At 43.6% G+C, this 15,543-nt stretch overlaps 1 long non-coding RNA gene and 1 pseudogene across 1 annotated transcript in view; both read right to left on the reverse strand.

Moving 5' to 3' along the window:
* The window catches only part of LOC100288069 (uncharacterized), a 52,876-nt gene that overhangs the window by 24,108 nt on the left and 13,225 nt on the right, over window positions 1-15,543 (reverse strand). Inside the window, exons 7-9 of the long non-coding RNA NR_168328.1 lie at window positions 14,857-15,381; window positions 9,101-9,257; window positions 6,211-6,275 (exon numbers count right to left, since the gene is read on the reverse strand). This is a non-coding gene — a long non-coding RNA (uncharacterized LOC100288069). The remainder of the gene's footprint in view (window positions 1-6,210; window positions 6,276-9,100; window positions 9,258-14,856; window positions 15,382-15,543) is intronic.
* Window positions 8,367-8,470, reverse strand: RNU6-1199P (RNA, U6 small nuclear 1199, pseudogene; annotated as a pseudogene).

Here is a 15,543-nt window from a genome sequence, read left to right on the forward strand (position 1 = left end):
ATCCCAGCTACTCGGGAGGCTGAGGCAGGAGAATTGCTTGAACCCAGAAGGTGAAGGTTGCAGTGAGCCAAAATCGCACCATTGCACTCCAGCCTGGGTGACAAGAGAAAGACTCTTATCTTAAAAAAAAAAAGAAAAAAAAGAAATGGCATCTTCTTCAAGAATTACATCGTGTTTCATGATAAAGAAGCTCTAATTTTGCATTTGTTCAAGTATTGATGAGATTTACCCAATATGACACCCATCTTGGATAAAATGCAAACAACACAATTTCATTTTCTCATTAACAAAACCGATTAAGTAGTCTAATATAAATTGCGATCTTATTAAAAACTGATCAGATTAAAAAAATTATGGAATTATGGAGCCAATAAGATGTTACAACCTGTTCCAAGGGGAATTCCAAAATCCACACATATCTGAGACCATCAAGTATGATGAAATATATTTGATTACTATATTGAAAAATAAACTGATTACATAGCCAACAATTGGACAGGGGTCTCCTCATCCACAGCCACACAAACCCGATCATGCAGCTATGTGGTTACAAGGCCTACATAGCCTAGAAGGGACTGGTCTGACTTGAGATTTCATTTGTATTTGTATTTTGAGACAGGGTCCCACTCTGTCACCCAGGATGGAGTGCAGTGGTATAATCATAGCTCACTGCAACCTTGACCAACTGGGCTCAAGAGATGCTCCTGCCTCAGCTGCCCCCATACCTGGGAATACAGGCAAGTACCACCATGTCAGGCATTTTTTTCATTTTTGTAGAGAGAGAAGACTTGCTATGTTGCCCAAGCTGGCCTCAAACTCCTAGAATCAAGAGATCTGCCCATCTCAGCCACATGAGTAACTGGGGCCATAGGTACATACCATCATGCCTGGCTATATTTATTTTATTTTATTAAATTTATTTTTTTTATTTTTGTAGAGAGGAGGTCTTGCTGTGTTGCCCAGGCTGCTCTCAAACTCATGGCCTTAAAACATACTCCCATCTCTGCCTCTCAAACTGTTGGAACTATAGGTGTGAGCCACTGTACCTGGCCTGACTTGGGATTTCTTTTATCTAGCATCCTTTACTTGGTAGGATTGGGAAAAGCAGTAGTGTTTTTTAAAATTACTTAATAATTCAATCAGAATCAAACTCAACCTTGACCACTGCCTTCTCTCACAGCTCACATCCAGTCTGTCAGGAAATCCTACTGACTGACTTCAACATGTATCCAGGCTCTAACCATCTCTCACCACCACCATGAACCCCGTCAGGATCACTATCATCTCCCACCGGGATGTTGCCACAGCTTGGCTCCCATGCTTCTACCCAAATCTTCCCATAGTCTTTCTCAACTCGGCAGCCAGGTCGTGCTTTTAAATCAGGAGACGGATCATGTCGCCTCTCTGCTCAGAAGCCCTCGGTGGTTCCCATTTTAGTCAGAGTAAAAGCCAAAGCCCCAGCAATAGCGTCCCAGGGCTTACACGATCTGTACCGATCCCAGCCCAGCAACTCCCTGGCCACCTCGCTGACTTCGCTCCCTCTATCTCTTTGCTCCACTGGCCTCCTTCCAGAGCCTCAGACACACCAGAGAGTTTCCTCCTAATGCCTTTATCCTGTTGACTCAGCCTACAATGCTCTTCCCTCAGCACCTTGGCCAGCTCCATCACCTGCTTCAAACTTTTGCTCAATATTCACTTATGAGGCCAACCCTGACCACTCTACTTAACACTGCCATCTGTCCCCATTCCCACCATGCTCATTTCTTTCTTTCTTTTTGAAACAAGGTCTTGCTTTATTGCCCAGGCTGGAGTACACTGGTGCAATCACAGCTCACAGCAACTTCAACCTCCCAGGCTTAAACAATCCTCCCGCCTCAGCCACCCTAGGAACTGAGACTACAGCTGCATGCCACAACACATGGCTTTTTTTTTTTTTTTTTGAGATGGAGTCTCGGTCGCCCAGGCTGAAGTGTAAGGGTGCGATCTTGGCTCACTGCAATGTCTGCCTTTTGGGTTCAAGTGATTCTCTGCCTCCCAAGTAGCTGGGATTACAGGCACCCACCACCACACCTGGCTAATGTTTGTATTTTTAGTAGAGATGGGGTTTCACCATCTTGGCTAGGCTGGTCTTGAACTTCTGACCTCGTGATCCACCCTCCTCGGCCTCCCAAAGTGCTGGGATTACAGGCGTGAGCCACTGCGCCTGGCCTTTAAAAAAATTTTTTTTTAGACATGAGGTCTCATTATGTTGTCCAGGCTGGTCTTAAGCTCCTGGGCTTAAGCGATCCTCCCACCTCAGCCTCCTAAAGTTCTGGGATTACAGGCGTGAGCAACCGTAACATGAGGTCCCAGCTTCATGTTCATTTTTTGTTGTTGCTACAACAAAGTACCCTACATTTAGTGGCATCAAACACCACAAATCTACCATCTTACAGTTCTGGGGGCCAGAAGCCCAACTAGGTCTATTAAGGTTAAAGTCAAGGTGTCAGAGAGGCTGCATTCCTTCTGGGGGAGGCTCTAGAAAGAATGTGCTCCTTTGCCTTTTCCAGCTTCTAGAAGCCACCCCCATTCCTTGACTTACCTCGTGACTCCATATTCAAGGCCAGAAGTGCAGCATCTTCAAATCTCCCTCTCTGACCTCTTCTTCCATTACCACATCACTTTCTCTAATTCTGACTCTCCTACCTCATTCTCTTATAAAGATCCTTGTGATTGGTGGGTATGGGGGCTCCCATCTGTAATCCCAACATTTTGGGAGGCCAAAGAGGAAGGATTGCTTGAGGCCAAGAGTTAGAGATCAGCCTGGGGAAAAAAAGGAAGATCCTGCCTTTACAAAATTAAAATCAGCTGGACATGGTGATGCATGCCTGTAGTTCCAGCTACTGGAGAGGCTAAGGTGGGAGGATTGCTTTAGCCTAGGAGGTCAAGGCTGCAGTGAGCTATGATCACATCACTGCACTCCAGCCTCAGTGGCAGAGTGAGACTCTGTCTCCGATATAAGAAAAGAAATATACATTTGGTCTCTGCCCCTGGTTCCTGGCATAAAGCTTCCAAAGCTCTTATAAAGCCCTTCGTGACAGAGGTAATAGGAGCATTTTCTGTTTTGATATTTAGTCTTAGTCCCAGGTTCCTGACACAAGGGCCTCTAAGGTCTTTCAGATCTGCAGCATGGTAAGAATGCATGTGGGATGCTGTTGAGCTAACAGGGTGGCTGCAAGCTCCGAGACTGCTTCAGGAGGAGGGCTAGCTGCCAGAGAAAGCAACCACATTTTTTTTTTAAAACGGAGTTTGGCTCTTGTAGCCCAGGCTGGAGTGCAATGGCACAATCTCAGCTCACTACAACCTCCACCTCCCGGGTTCAAGCAATTCTCCTGCCTCGGCCTCCCGAGTAGCTGGAATTATAGGGATGTGCCACAACGCCTAGCTAACTGTTGTTATTTTTAGTAGAAATGGGGTTTCACCATGTTGGTCAGGCTGGTCTCAAACTCTTGACCTCAAGTGGTCCATGTGCCTCAGCCTTCCAAACTGCTAGGATTACAGGAGTGAGCCACCGCACCTGGCCCCAACCACATTTTTTGAGGCTTGGAACTTTCAGCCTCACCTGCTGAACTCCAGGAGGCAAAAGGAACTGGAGATTGACTTAACTACCAATGGCCAATGATTTTATCAATCATGCCTCCATAAACACCCAAACAGCAGGGTTTGGAGAGCTTCTGTGTTGCTAAACACAAGGAGGTCCTGGGAGGGTAGTGTGCCCAACAGAGGGCATGGAAGCTCTGTGCCCCTCCCCACTTACCTTGTCCTGTGCATCTCTTTCATTGGCTGTTCCTGAGATGGAGCCATTACATTGAGCCAGTAATAGAAAATAAGGTGGCCAGATGCGCTGGCTCATGCCCGTAATCCCAGCACTTTGGGAGGCAGAGGTGGGCGGAATCACTTGAGCCTAGGAATTTGAGACCAACCTGGGCAACATAAGAAGACCCCATCTATACAAAAAATAAAAGAAATTAGCCAAATGTGGTGGTGGGAACCCTGTAATTCCAGCTACTTGAGAGGCTGAAGCAGGAGAATCACTTGAGCTCTGGACGTTGAGGCTTCAATGAGCTATGATTGCACCACTGCACACCAGCTTGGACAACAGAGCGAGGCCCTGTCTCTTAAAAAGAAAAGAAAAAAAAACTTGTTTTTCTAAGTTCTGTGAGTTGTTCTAGTAAATAATTAAACTCAACAAGAGGGTCATGGGAAACCCTGATTTCTAACTGGTTGGTCAAAATACAGGTGACAACCTAGGACTTGCAACTGGCATCTGAAGTGAGGGTGGTCTTGTGGGACTGAGCCCCTAACCTGTGGGTTCTGTGCTAACTCTAGGTAGTGTCAGAATGGAATTGTGGGATACGCGGTTGGTATCCAGAGAGTTGGAGAACTGGTGTAGAAACTCTGCACACACATTTGGTCAGAAGTCTGTGAGTAGAGAGAAACGTGTTGCAGGAAGTCAGGGACCCCAAACGGAGGGACTGGCTGAAGCCACAGCAGAAGAACATAAATTGTGAAGATTTCATGGACATTTATTAGTTCCCCAAATTAATACTTCTATAATTTCTTAGGCCTGTCATTACTGCAATCTCTGAACATAAATTGTGAAGATTTCATGGACACTTATCACTTCCCCAATCAATACCCTTGTGATTTTCTATGCCTGTCTTTAATCTCTTAATCCGGTCATCTTCGTAAGCTGAGGATGAATGTCCCCGCAGGACCCTGTGATAATTGCGTTAACTGCACAAGTTGTTTAAACAATATGAAACCTGGGCACCTTGAAAAAAGAACAGGATAACAGCAATTTCAGGGAACAAGGGAGATAACCTTAAACTCTGGCTGCCAGTGGGCCGGGTTGAACAGAGCCATATTTCTCTTCTTTCAAAAGCAAATAGGAGAAGTATTGCTGAATTCTTTTTCTCAGCAAAGAACATCCCTGAGAAAGAGAATGCATCCCTAAGGGGAGGCCTCTGAAATGGCCGCTTTGGGGACGGCTGTCTTTTACAGTCATAGATAAGGGATGAAATAAGCCCTGGGTTCGCGTGGCGCTCCCAGCCTTATCAGGACAAGGAAATTCCCGCCTAATAAATGTTGGTCAGATGGGTTGTCTGCTCTCAAACCCTTTCTCCTGATAAGATGTTATCAATGACAATGCGCGCCCGAAACTTCATTAGCAATTTTAATTTCGCCCCGGTCCTGTGGTCCTGTGATCTTGCCCTGCCTCCATTTGCCTTGTGATATTTTATTACCTTGTGAAGCATGTGATCTCTGTGATCCACACCCTATTCGTACACTCCCTCACCTTTTGAAAATCACTAATAAAAACTTGTTGGTTTTGCGGCTTGGGGGGCATCACGGAACCTGCCGACGTGTGATGTCTCCCCTGGACATCCAGCTTTAAAATTTCTCTCTTTTGTACTCTTTCCCTTTATTTCTCAGACTGGCTGACACTCAGGGAAAATAGAAAAGAACCTACATGAAATATCAGGGGTGAATTTCCCCCGATATCACACTGGCTCTTCTCTCACCTGTCTACCTGCTTAACTTAATAGGAGAGGCAATGCATGGTGCTCATGAACAAGGCAAGCATTAAAGTCAGACCAGACTAACATTTGACTCAGTCCTAATATTCAGGTGAGCTTGGGCAAATCGCTCATTAACCCCAAGTCTTCATCATTTTGTGCATATAATGGGGATAACTGTGGCACCCACCTGTTTTTGTGAGAATCAATGAAATATTATGCTTGATGTTATTGTGATCATGATACTATCTGACAAGGGCAGTGATGCATGATAACATCAAAAAATTAGAAACTGTAATGAGGTCTCTTGGGCAAAATTCCATACAAGCAAATTACTGTCTCTACAAAGCATTTCTGCCACACTTAATTCACCATTCCCTGAACAAAATGTGCCATCTTCATTGTTCAGGTCTGTATAGTGCTGGTTTCCCTGCCTGGGCAGCTCACTCCATCCCATCCCAGCCCAATCCCCATCCCTCCACCTCCCCCTTCCCTCCCCACTCTCATACAACTCTTCCTTATCTTACAGGACTTGGCTTCAATGTCACCTTAACTGGAAGCTTCTCTCCCTCTCCAGAAGAGCTTCCGATTGCACTTGATGCATGCACTATTATTTGATCATTTTTGAGTTACAGTCCAAGTCTTTTTGTACCTGAATAACATGTTGCCCAGTCAGTTTCTCTTCCTGGATTCAGAAGTCTTTCATGGTAGGTCCAGCTAGAAGTGACAAAAAGACATTTAAAAAAAAAAAAAGAGGGATGACACAGACAGACATCAGCACTTAAAAGTTTTAAACGATATGTGAAAAACAAAATTTAAGGGCTTCTAGGAGAAATGTAGGAGGGAAGGTGTTACTGGGAAATATGATAGAAGGTTAATTTTTATTTTATTTTATTTTTAGAGAAAGGGTCTTGCTCTATCACCTAGGCTGGACTGCAGTGGTGCAATCACAGTTAACTGCAGCCTCAACCTCCAGGGCTTGAGCAATATTCCCATCTAATTTTTATTTTGTTTAAGAAATGCAGTCTTGCTCTTAGCAAAGCTAAAGTGCAATGGTGTGATCATAGCTTACTGCAGCCTCAACCTTCTAGACTCAAGTGATCCTCCAGTCTTAGCCTCCCCAGTAGCTCGGACTACAGGTGTGCACTGCAACGTGTAGCTCATTTTTTTTTTTAATTTTTAGTAGAGACAAAGTGTCACTATGTTGACCAGGTTGGTGGTGATCTCCTACACTCAGGCAGTTCTCTCACCTCAGCCTTCCAAAATGCTGGGATTACAGGTGTGAGCTGCCACACCTGGCTGAGGGGGTTAATTTTTAATTATATAAAGAGCTCAAAGCAAATATTAGAAGGAGCCTAAATGCCTCCAGCAGTTGACTGGTACTGGTAAATTGTGATACATCCATATAATAAAATATTATGCAACCATAAAAAGGATTAAGATAGATCAATAGGTATTGGCACAAATGTCCACGAAATATGAAAATATGAAGTGATGTTCAATCACCATGTACGTATCTTGAAGGATATGGCCCATTTTCTCAACTGCAATTATTTCCTGAGATAAGATTATGGGTCTAAAGAGTGAAGGACATTTTTCACTTATTTAAAAGTATTTATCATTTTTATAATTTAATAAAAGATTAAACAGATCATTGAATTAGTAAAAGACAAAGTAACTCTATAAATAAATGGAAAAGACACAGATACCCCAGGCATGGTGGCTCATGCTTATAATACCAGTACTTTGGGAGGGGGTGGTGGGGGGATTGCTTGAGGCCAGGAGTTCCAGACCAGCCTAAGAAACAAAGCAAGACCTCCTCTCTAGTAAAAATAAAAAAATAAAAATAATTGGCCAGGCATAGTGGCATGTGCCTATAGTCCCAACTACTGAGGTGGAAGGATCACCTGAGCCTAGGAGGTCAAGGCTGCAGTGAGTTGAGACTGTGCCACTACACTGAAGCCTAGGAGACAGAGCGAGACTTCATCTCAAAAAAAAAAAAAGGACAATAAAGAAATAAAGCTAATAAGCTAACATAAGGAAAGATAAAATATGTGACAAATAGGCTGGGCACATGGCTCACAGCTGTAATCAAGCACTTTGGGAGGCCAAGGCGGGTAGATCACGAGATCAGGAGTTCGAGACCAGCCTGATCAACATGGTGAAACCACGTTTCTACTAAAAATACAAAAATTAACCAGGCATGGTGGCATATGCCTGTAATCCCAGCTACTCAGGAGGCTGAGGCAGGAGAATCGCTTGAACCTGGGAGGCACAGGTTGCAGTGAGCTGAGATCACACCACTGCACTCCAGCCTGGTCGACAGAGCGAGACTGTGTCTCAAAAATGAAAAAAGAATGGGTGACAAAGTAATAATAGGAGGTCTTTCATTTATCACACAGAAAATAACTTGTTAAATTATAATACCTGTGTGGGCGAAGGTGCAGTGAAATGGCCATTTTCTTGTAGTATTAGTGGTGTTTAAAATGTATATAAGCCTTCCAGCATAAAGCTTGGAAATTTTTTTTAAATCATACAGACAGTGACTCATTATACTGCCTCCTCCAACTCCTGGCCTCAAGCAATCCTCCCACCTCAGCCTCCCAAAGTGCTGGAATTACAGGCTGACAGCCACCATGCCTGAAAGCTTTGCAATTTACATCGAGGGTAATAAGAATGCTCATGCCCTGTGACTCACAGTAATCTCACTTCTGGAAATTTCACCTTTGGATATAATTCAACCTAAACAAAAGGTCATATGCACAAACACAGTGAAAATCTGCGAGTAATTTTTTTCTCTTTTTTTAAAAAAATATGGAATGCTTCACAAATTTGCATGTCATTCTTTCACAGAGGCCGTGCCAATCTCTCTATTGTTCCAACTAAAGTATGTGTGCTACTGAGGCAAGCATGAGTAATTTAAGATAGAGTGGTTAAGTGACATAAGGAAGAATTATGGAGAATTTAAAAATCTATGCTATTTATAGGCACCTAGTAACAGCTCAGTAAATATTAGCTGCTACTATTATTATTTTTATGGTAATTTCACTCAATTAAAAACTGTCATTAAAAATTACCATTGTCATGGAACATAATGTCTCCTACTGTGTAATTGTAGAAACAGATACAATTTGTCCCTTGGTATATGGGGGGATTAGTTCCAGCTCTCCCATTTCTGTGTATACCAAAATCCACGCATACTCAAGTTTTCGAAGTCAGTCCTGTGGAATCCACATATAACACAAATGGGAAAATTAGTGAGGTGTGGTGACAAGCACCTGTAGTCCCAGCTACTTGTGAGGCTGAGGCAGGAGGATTGCTTGAGCCCAGGAGGTTGAGGCTGCAGTGAGCCATAATTGCACCACTGCACTCCAGTCTGGGCAACACAGTGAGACAGAAGGTTGACTTTTTAATAGAATTTTTCTGTTCACTTGAAGATATGGTCAGGATTGTGGCATATGAAAATTCTTCATAAAATAACTATCTAATCCAATTAATGCTGGAATTGGGAACAGCAGAAGTGTCATCTCAGAGCTACTCACAATGAAAGGTGATGTCTGGGGCTCAGGTGTGTTGAGGTCCCCATGCCTGGACTATGGGTGCTGAGTGGGATTTACTTGTCCATCCATTTTCTATATTCCAGCACTGGGAAACTAGGGACAGTACTTGTTCTCAAGGGAATCTTCAGCTTAGGTGGCTCTGTAAAAGAGAAATTACATCATTGAAAAATCGTCGCAGGTCAGGTGAGGTGGCTCATACCTATAATCCCAGCCCACTGGGAGACTAAGGCAGGAGGATTCCGTGAGGCCAGGAGTTCAAGACCAGCCTGAGCAACACAGTGAAACCTCATCTCTACAAAAAATTAGAAAATGAACTGGGTGCGGTAAAACATTCGTATAGTCCCAGCTACTCTGGAGGCTGAAATAGGAGGATCGCTTGAGCCCAGGAAGTGGAAGCTGCAGTGAGCTCTGATCTCACCACTGCACTCTAGCCTTGGTGACAGAGTGAGACCCTGTCTCAAGACACACACAAACACACACACACACACACACACACACACACACACACACACACCCAATCTCACTCTGTCCAGCCTTGACTAATCAAAAGGGCCTTCTGGTTACAGAAGAGGTATGCTCTTTTGTAGGACAGGGAGAGACCAGCAAGCTTGTTCACAGACTTTTCCTCATCCTCTGCTTAGTTTTCCAAGAACCCTCACAGTGGAAATGGAGTCTCTGGGAAAATGACCTAAATCTTTGGGTTACCAGGGGAGAAATATGCCTCCTTTGTCAATTAATAAATGGAACATCAGCCTTAAAATCCAGGGAGTTCTGCTAGAATGAATCACTCCCTAAGACCCTGACCAATGCATGGAACATGAAAAACTGAAGTTTAACTGGGCGCGGTGGATCACGCCTGTAATCCCAGCACTTTGGGAGGCTGAGGCGGGCGGATCACCTGAGGTCAAAAGTTCTAGATCAGCCTGGCCAACATGGTGAAACCCCGTCTCTACTAAAAATACAAAAATTAGTTGGGCATGGTGGTGGACACCTGTAATCCCAGCTACTTGGGAGGCTGAGGCAGGAAAATCGCTTGAACCCGGAAGGCGGAGGTTGCAGTTACTTCTAGAAGAATTTCCATTAGCCCTTTGAAATCCTTCAACATTCATGAAGGCCAAAGAGTTTTCACCTAATTTAATCTGATGGGTATGTGACCAGAGTCTTTCTAGGGAATAGAGACTCCCAAACAGTTCGACTGGGAAGTGAGGAGAGAATTTATTACTCAAAACCAAAGGGAAATGAAAAGAGGCCAACATAGAATGTCATTATTCTTTCTTGGCGGGGAATGGATTCCAGAGTCATTCTGTGACCTTTACATGACCTCCTTATTAGCATCTAAAAGCTTCCAGTGTAGGATGCAGCCAGCTAGGTTCTCTTCTAATGTAATAAAATTTGCTTCGGCAAATCTTATGCAGAGCCAACTCCAGGCTCCAGAAACAATAGGCTATAAATTACTGGATCTCCCATTTGATACAATGAAGTATGAGCACGGTCCTGAATGACTCCTCTACATACTACTCTGGGTGGCTTGAAGTGAATTTGATACAAGAACTGGAGCGAGGGCAAAGCAGAGCTAGATCTAGGATTAATGTGCTTGGGCCCAGCTCCTCACTACTCACCTATGAGTCTAGTTCCAGAACCCAAGTAGAGGATGGGGAAACAAGGCTCCTGACTTTTTTTCCCTAATATCTGCATCTCTTTCACATTTCTTATCTCCTTGCAAAGAAACTAAACAGTCTCAACTGAAATAACTAAATGATTAAACCCTATACAGAGAATCTCCAAAGACTGACAAAATATCATTCAAGACTGTTACACAGACAACCTTGAGGATGACTTGATGTACCAGTGATCTACAATATTTGGGATCATTCCAAATTCCCATCAAGGATCTGCCTATATCAACAAAGGAGCCAAGGACCAACCATTCAAATGGGCCCTGCTGCCAAGCCTTTTTTTTTTTTTTTAACAATGCCATCTCTTCATATTGTTCCATTTAACAAAACTGCAGCCCTTCATCTATCCTTAAGTCCCTTGGCCAATGGTACAGAGCCAGAGTATGCTACTCCCTAGCAGGAAATCAACAGGATGACCTACTAAACACCATTCAGAAGATGCTAAGACCCATGAATTGCAACAGGAAAGAAAAGACAGAGAATTAGTCAGACAGGTACATGCTGTGCCAAAAATGCACTACAGCCCCCACCCAATTCTGCCTAATCCTAGCTGGGCTGACACCAACCTGATGAGACAGGCCTATAAGATCTCAAACTAAAACAGAAACTCCTGAACTGGGTTCTTTTGAGCCCAGGAAGCAGCAGTAAATCATTAAAGAACAGATAAGTTCTTAAGGTGAGGGAGAGTTTCAGATAAATGGAATGCTGGTAGAACACAGGGCCCAAAGGAGCAAAAGTTAACCTAAGCCCAGGTAGAACCTTGTTTACTAGAGTATTAGGCATGGGTTTGGGCAACTATTCTAACCAGAGAAACTGGCTTCAGTGAGGGCAAGTTGGCAATCCAAGGTATAGCATGCATAGGGCTGGCAAAATTCAGGGTGACTGAAGCAAAAGCTTCAGAACCAGAAAGACCACATCTGGGGGTAGAGCACAAAACTCTCAAGAGATGAATCTTTGTAAGAGTGAGGCAGAACTATATAGCAGTTTTAGGAGATCTGTTGGTGCCCAGCAAGAGCTCCAAACGGGCTATATGCAGGGATGCAGGCTGTAGTCTCAGGAGAGGAGGTTCACAAAAGTCATTCAGTCCAAGACCTCAAACTGTGTTCTCTACTAAAAGGAATCAAGGTTCCCTAGAGAAACGGCTGACTCCATGTATGGTGCAGTATATTGATCCTGGAACATCTTTTTTGCCAGAAAGCAAGGAAGCCATCAAAGTCCAACAGGATCACGTCAAAAAGACATGAAAGTCAACTTGAAGAGATAATTATTAACCTAGATGAGACAATGTAAGCATCCAAAACAATAAAGACTGCAATGGCCTGAAATACATCAAATGCAAACAATAAACTATGAGTTCATAATGGTATTCAGAAAAAAAAACTACTGGTCATTAGAGGGAAGGTTACTAGGTCACTAACTTACTACTCTGAAAAGTGACTTAAGATGAGAGGTAGGGTGGAGAATTAGCTATTTATTCAGTCTTTCCTGTACAAACATAAATTTTTAGGGAGATTGAAGCAGATGAAACAAATCTGGAAAAATGGAGGTAACTGCTTAATCTGCGGGTTGGGTGCATGGAGGTTCAACATATTTCTTTTGTGTATATTTGAACCCCCTACAAAAAAAGCACAAGACAGAATGTGAGCCAAGCAGCTTAGGGTTTAGGCAAGGCTTCTGCCTACAAGAGACACCAGGATATGAGGGGTAGTTTTAGCCCTATTGGGCTGAGCCAACTGGAGGTATATAGGGAAGTGCTAAATTGCAGAGGTATCATGTTGCCCAGCACTTGATCAAATCCTAGATCCTAGGTCTGCTTGGTGGCATGCTTCCTAGGTAGTGGATCTGAGGCTACCTATAGAACTTCCTTTGCAGTCATAGTTCACTCAGAAACTACAAAAGTGCTTGCTCTTGAAAATGGAGTCTTTGTCCATTTCATGCTTCTATAAAAGAATACCACAGACTGCATAATTTATAAAAAGGAAAAAAGGAAGGAAAGAAAAAAGGAAGGAAGGAGGGAAGGAGGGAAAAAGGGAAGGAGGGAAGGAAAGGAAGGAAGGGAAAGAAGGAAAGGAAGGAAGGGAAAGAGAGAAAGAGGGAAGGAGGAAGGGAGGGAAGGAGGGAGGGAGGGAGAGAGGGAGGGAGGGGAAGGGAAGAAAAGGGAAGAGAAGGGAAAGGAGGAAGAAAAGGAAAGGAAAGGAATAAATTTTATTTCTTAACAGTTCTGGATGTTAGGAAGTCCAAGGTTGAGGGGCCTGCATCTGGTAAGGGTCTTCTTGCTGCATCATCCCACTACAGAAGGCAGAAGGAAAAGAGAGTGCAAGAAAGCAAGAGGGCAAAAGGGGCTGAACTCTGTTTTATAATAAGCCCACTCTGTGATTACTAATCTATTAGCACAATAACAACATTAACTCATTCATGAAGGCTATTTTATTAGGCCCCACATCCCAACTGTTGCATTGAGGATTGAGTTTCCAGCACATAAACTTTGGGGGACACATTTAAACCATAGCAGAGCACTTAGGTTAATTCAACTAAGAGGAGCTGGGAAAATCAAAGGCATGAGAAAGACAGCAAAAGCTAGCAGAGAGAAATGCATAGGTTAAGGAAAAAAGTCACAGTGAATCCTGTAGTGCAGGCTACTTTATCAAAAGCACCTAAAAAAGATCTCATTAACTCCCCCAGCTCACCTCCACCCACATCTAAAGAGCCACACACAGCACCACCAAAGGCAGCACAATGAGAACAGCATTCTCCTCAACAGACAAGCTGGGAGTATCTAGACACCTGACCTCAATAGCTCCAGAACAGCCCTAAAACATTTCCTCCCTAACCACCACTCAAGTCACCAGCTTGGAAAGTATTAAGAAAACCCAAATCCTGACACACCACTATGAAACAACTTAAAACAGCAAAGAACAACCCATTTAAACAGCAATGCCAGCTGTTGGGGAAAAAAGGAACAATGAGTAGAGGAGAAACAGACCACTCGGGGTCCACCAAGACCCAGTCTCTCAGCTTCAGCACTTTTAAATGCAGAATCCATACCCCTCTGGGGCCTGTGGAGCTCCACAAGGCATGTCGTCCTCAAAGATAAATGAGCAGGCAAGCTGGCTAGAAAACCACTAAGGGTATTTATTCTTTAAAGAATCTTTACAGGGTCAAAGAAGAATGGGTCTTAACTGGCTATGTGAACTCCCCACAGATTCTGAGGATGATGTCAGTATCCCTTTCCAGATGTGTTTAACACTTTGCAGTCACTTGTATTCCTGCCACTGAGTGCCAGTGCTTTGCTAATTTGAACTGATTCCAGCTCACGCTGACCCCAGCTCCCTGGATGTTACCATTAGCCAAGACTGTCACCCATACTGTACCCTTTCAAAGAGTCCTAAAAACAGCTCTTCACCTACTCTTCCAAGACAAGTAAAAATGTCTGCCAAAGAAATGGGGAAAAAAGATTCAGAGAGTGAAAACAATTAATATACTAACAAGAGAGCAAAAAGCAAAGGGGGAGGAGAAACTAGGAAAATCATATATGGGCTCTCACCTATTTCCAAAGCTGGGCTAATGTCCTTTTGCTTGTGTCTGAATAAGGCACCAATTTTAAGCTGCTAATGAAAAAAAAAGAAAAAGAGAAAGAAGCAGGCCCAGGCTGGGCGCAGTGGCTCATGCCTGTAATCCCAGCACTTTGGGAGGCCGAGGCGGGTGGATCACCCAAGGTCAGGAGTTCTAGACCAGCCTGGTCAACATGGTGAAACACCATCTCTACTAAAAATACAAAAAATTAGCCAGGCATGGTGGCGCATGCCTGTAAATCCAGCTACTAAGGAGGCTGAGGCAGGAGAATTGCTTGAACCTGGAAGGCAGAGAATGTGGTGACCTGAGATCACGTCATTGCCCTCAAGCCACGGCAATGAGAACAAAATTCGGTAAAAACAAAACAAAACAAAACAAAATCACCATAAAATAACTCAGACTTAATTAAATACAACCCTAGTGGTGAATGACTAAAGATGGATTACTCATAACAGAGATAACGGTCCAATAAGAATCCAGGAATCTTACCTTTTAATAACAAAAAAATCCTTTCCTTCTAAAGTAACATCCTCTCAAGGCCAGGAATTCCATTAGTAGAAAGCCTTCCTAAAAAACAAAATTCCTGGCCAGGCATGGGTTCACGTCTGTAATCTCAGCACTCTGGGAGGCCGAGGCGGGAAGATCACTTGATATCAGGAGTCGAGGCGGGAAGATCACTTGACGTCAGGAGTTCGAGACTGGCCCGGCCAACATGGTGAAACCGCATCTCCACTAAAAATACAAAAATTAGCCTGGTGTGGTGGTGGGCACCTGTAATCCCAGTGACTTGGGAGGCTAAGGCAGGAGAATTTCTTGAACCCAGGAGGCAGAGGTTGCAGTGACCAGCAAGGTTGCGCCATTGCACCCCAGCCTGGGCGATAAGAGTGAAAACTCCATCTCAAAAAAAAAAAAAAAAAATTCCTTTGGGAAGGCCTTCTACATAAAAATCTTCAACATGAGACTGGAAAAAAGGGTATGGGATCATCACCGGACCTTTGGCTTTTACAGCTCGAGCTATAAGAACAAAAAGAAAAAGGGATATCATTTAAACACAGTATGTAGAAAAGAATAATTATTGAATCTGTACTGGTCTTTAACTTTTACACTTTGATCTTTAATTCTGTTATTGTGATTGAGTCCAAAGAAAAACAGTATGAGTAAAATAAAAAGAACACC

Source organism: Homo sapiens, chromosome 1 (assembly GCF_000001405.40).
Source record: "Homo sapiens chromosome 1, GRCh38.p14 Primary Assembly".
Lineage (NCBI taxonomy): Eukaryota > Metazoa > Chordata > Mammalia > Primates > Hominidae > Homo > Homo sapiens.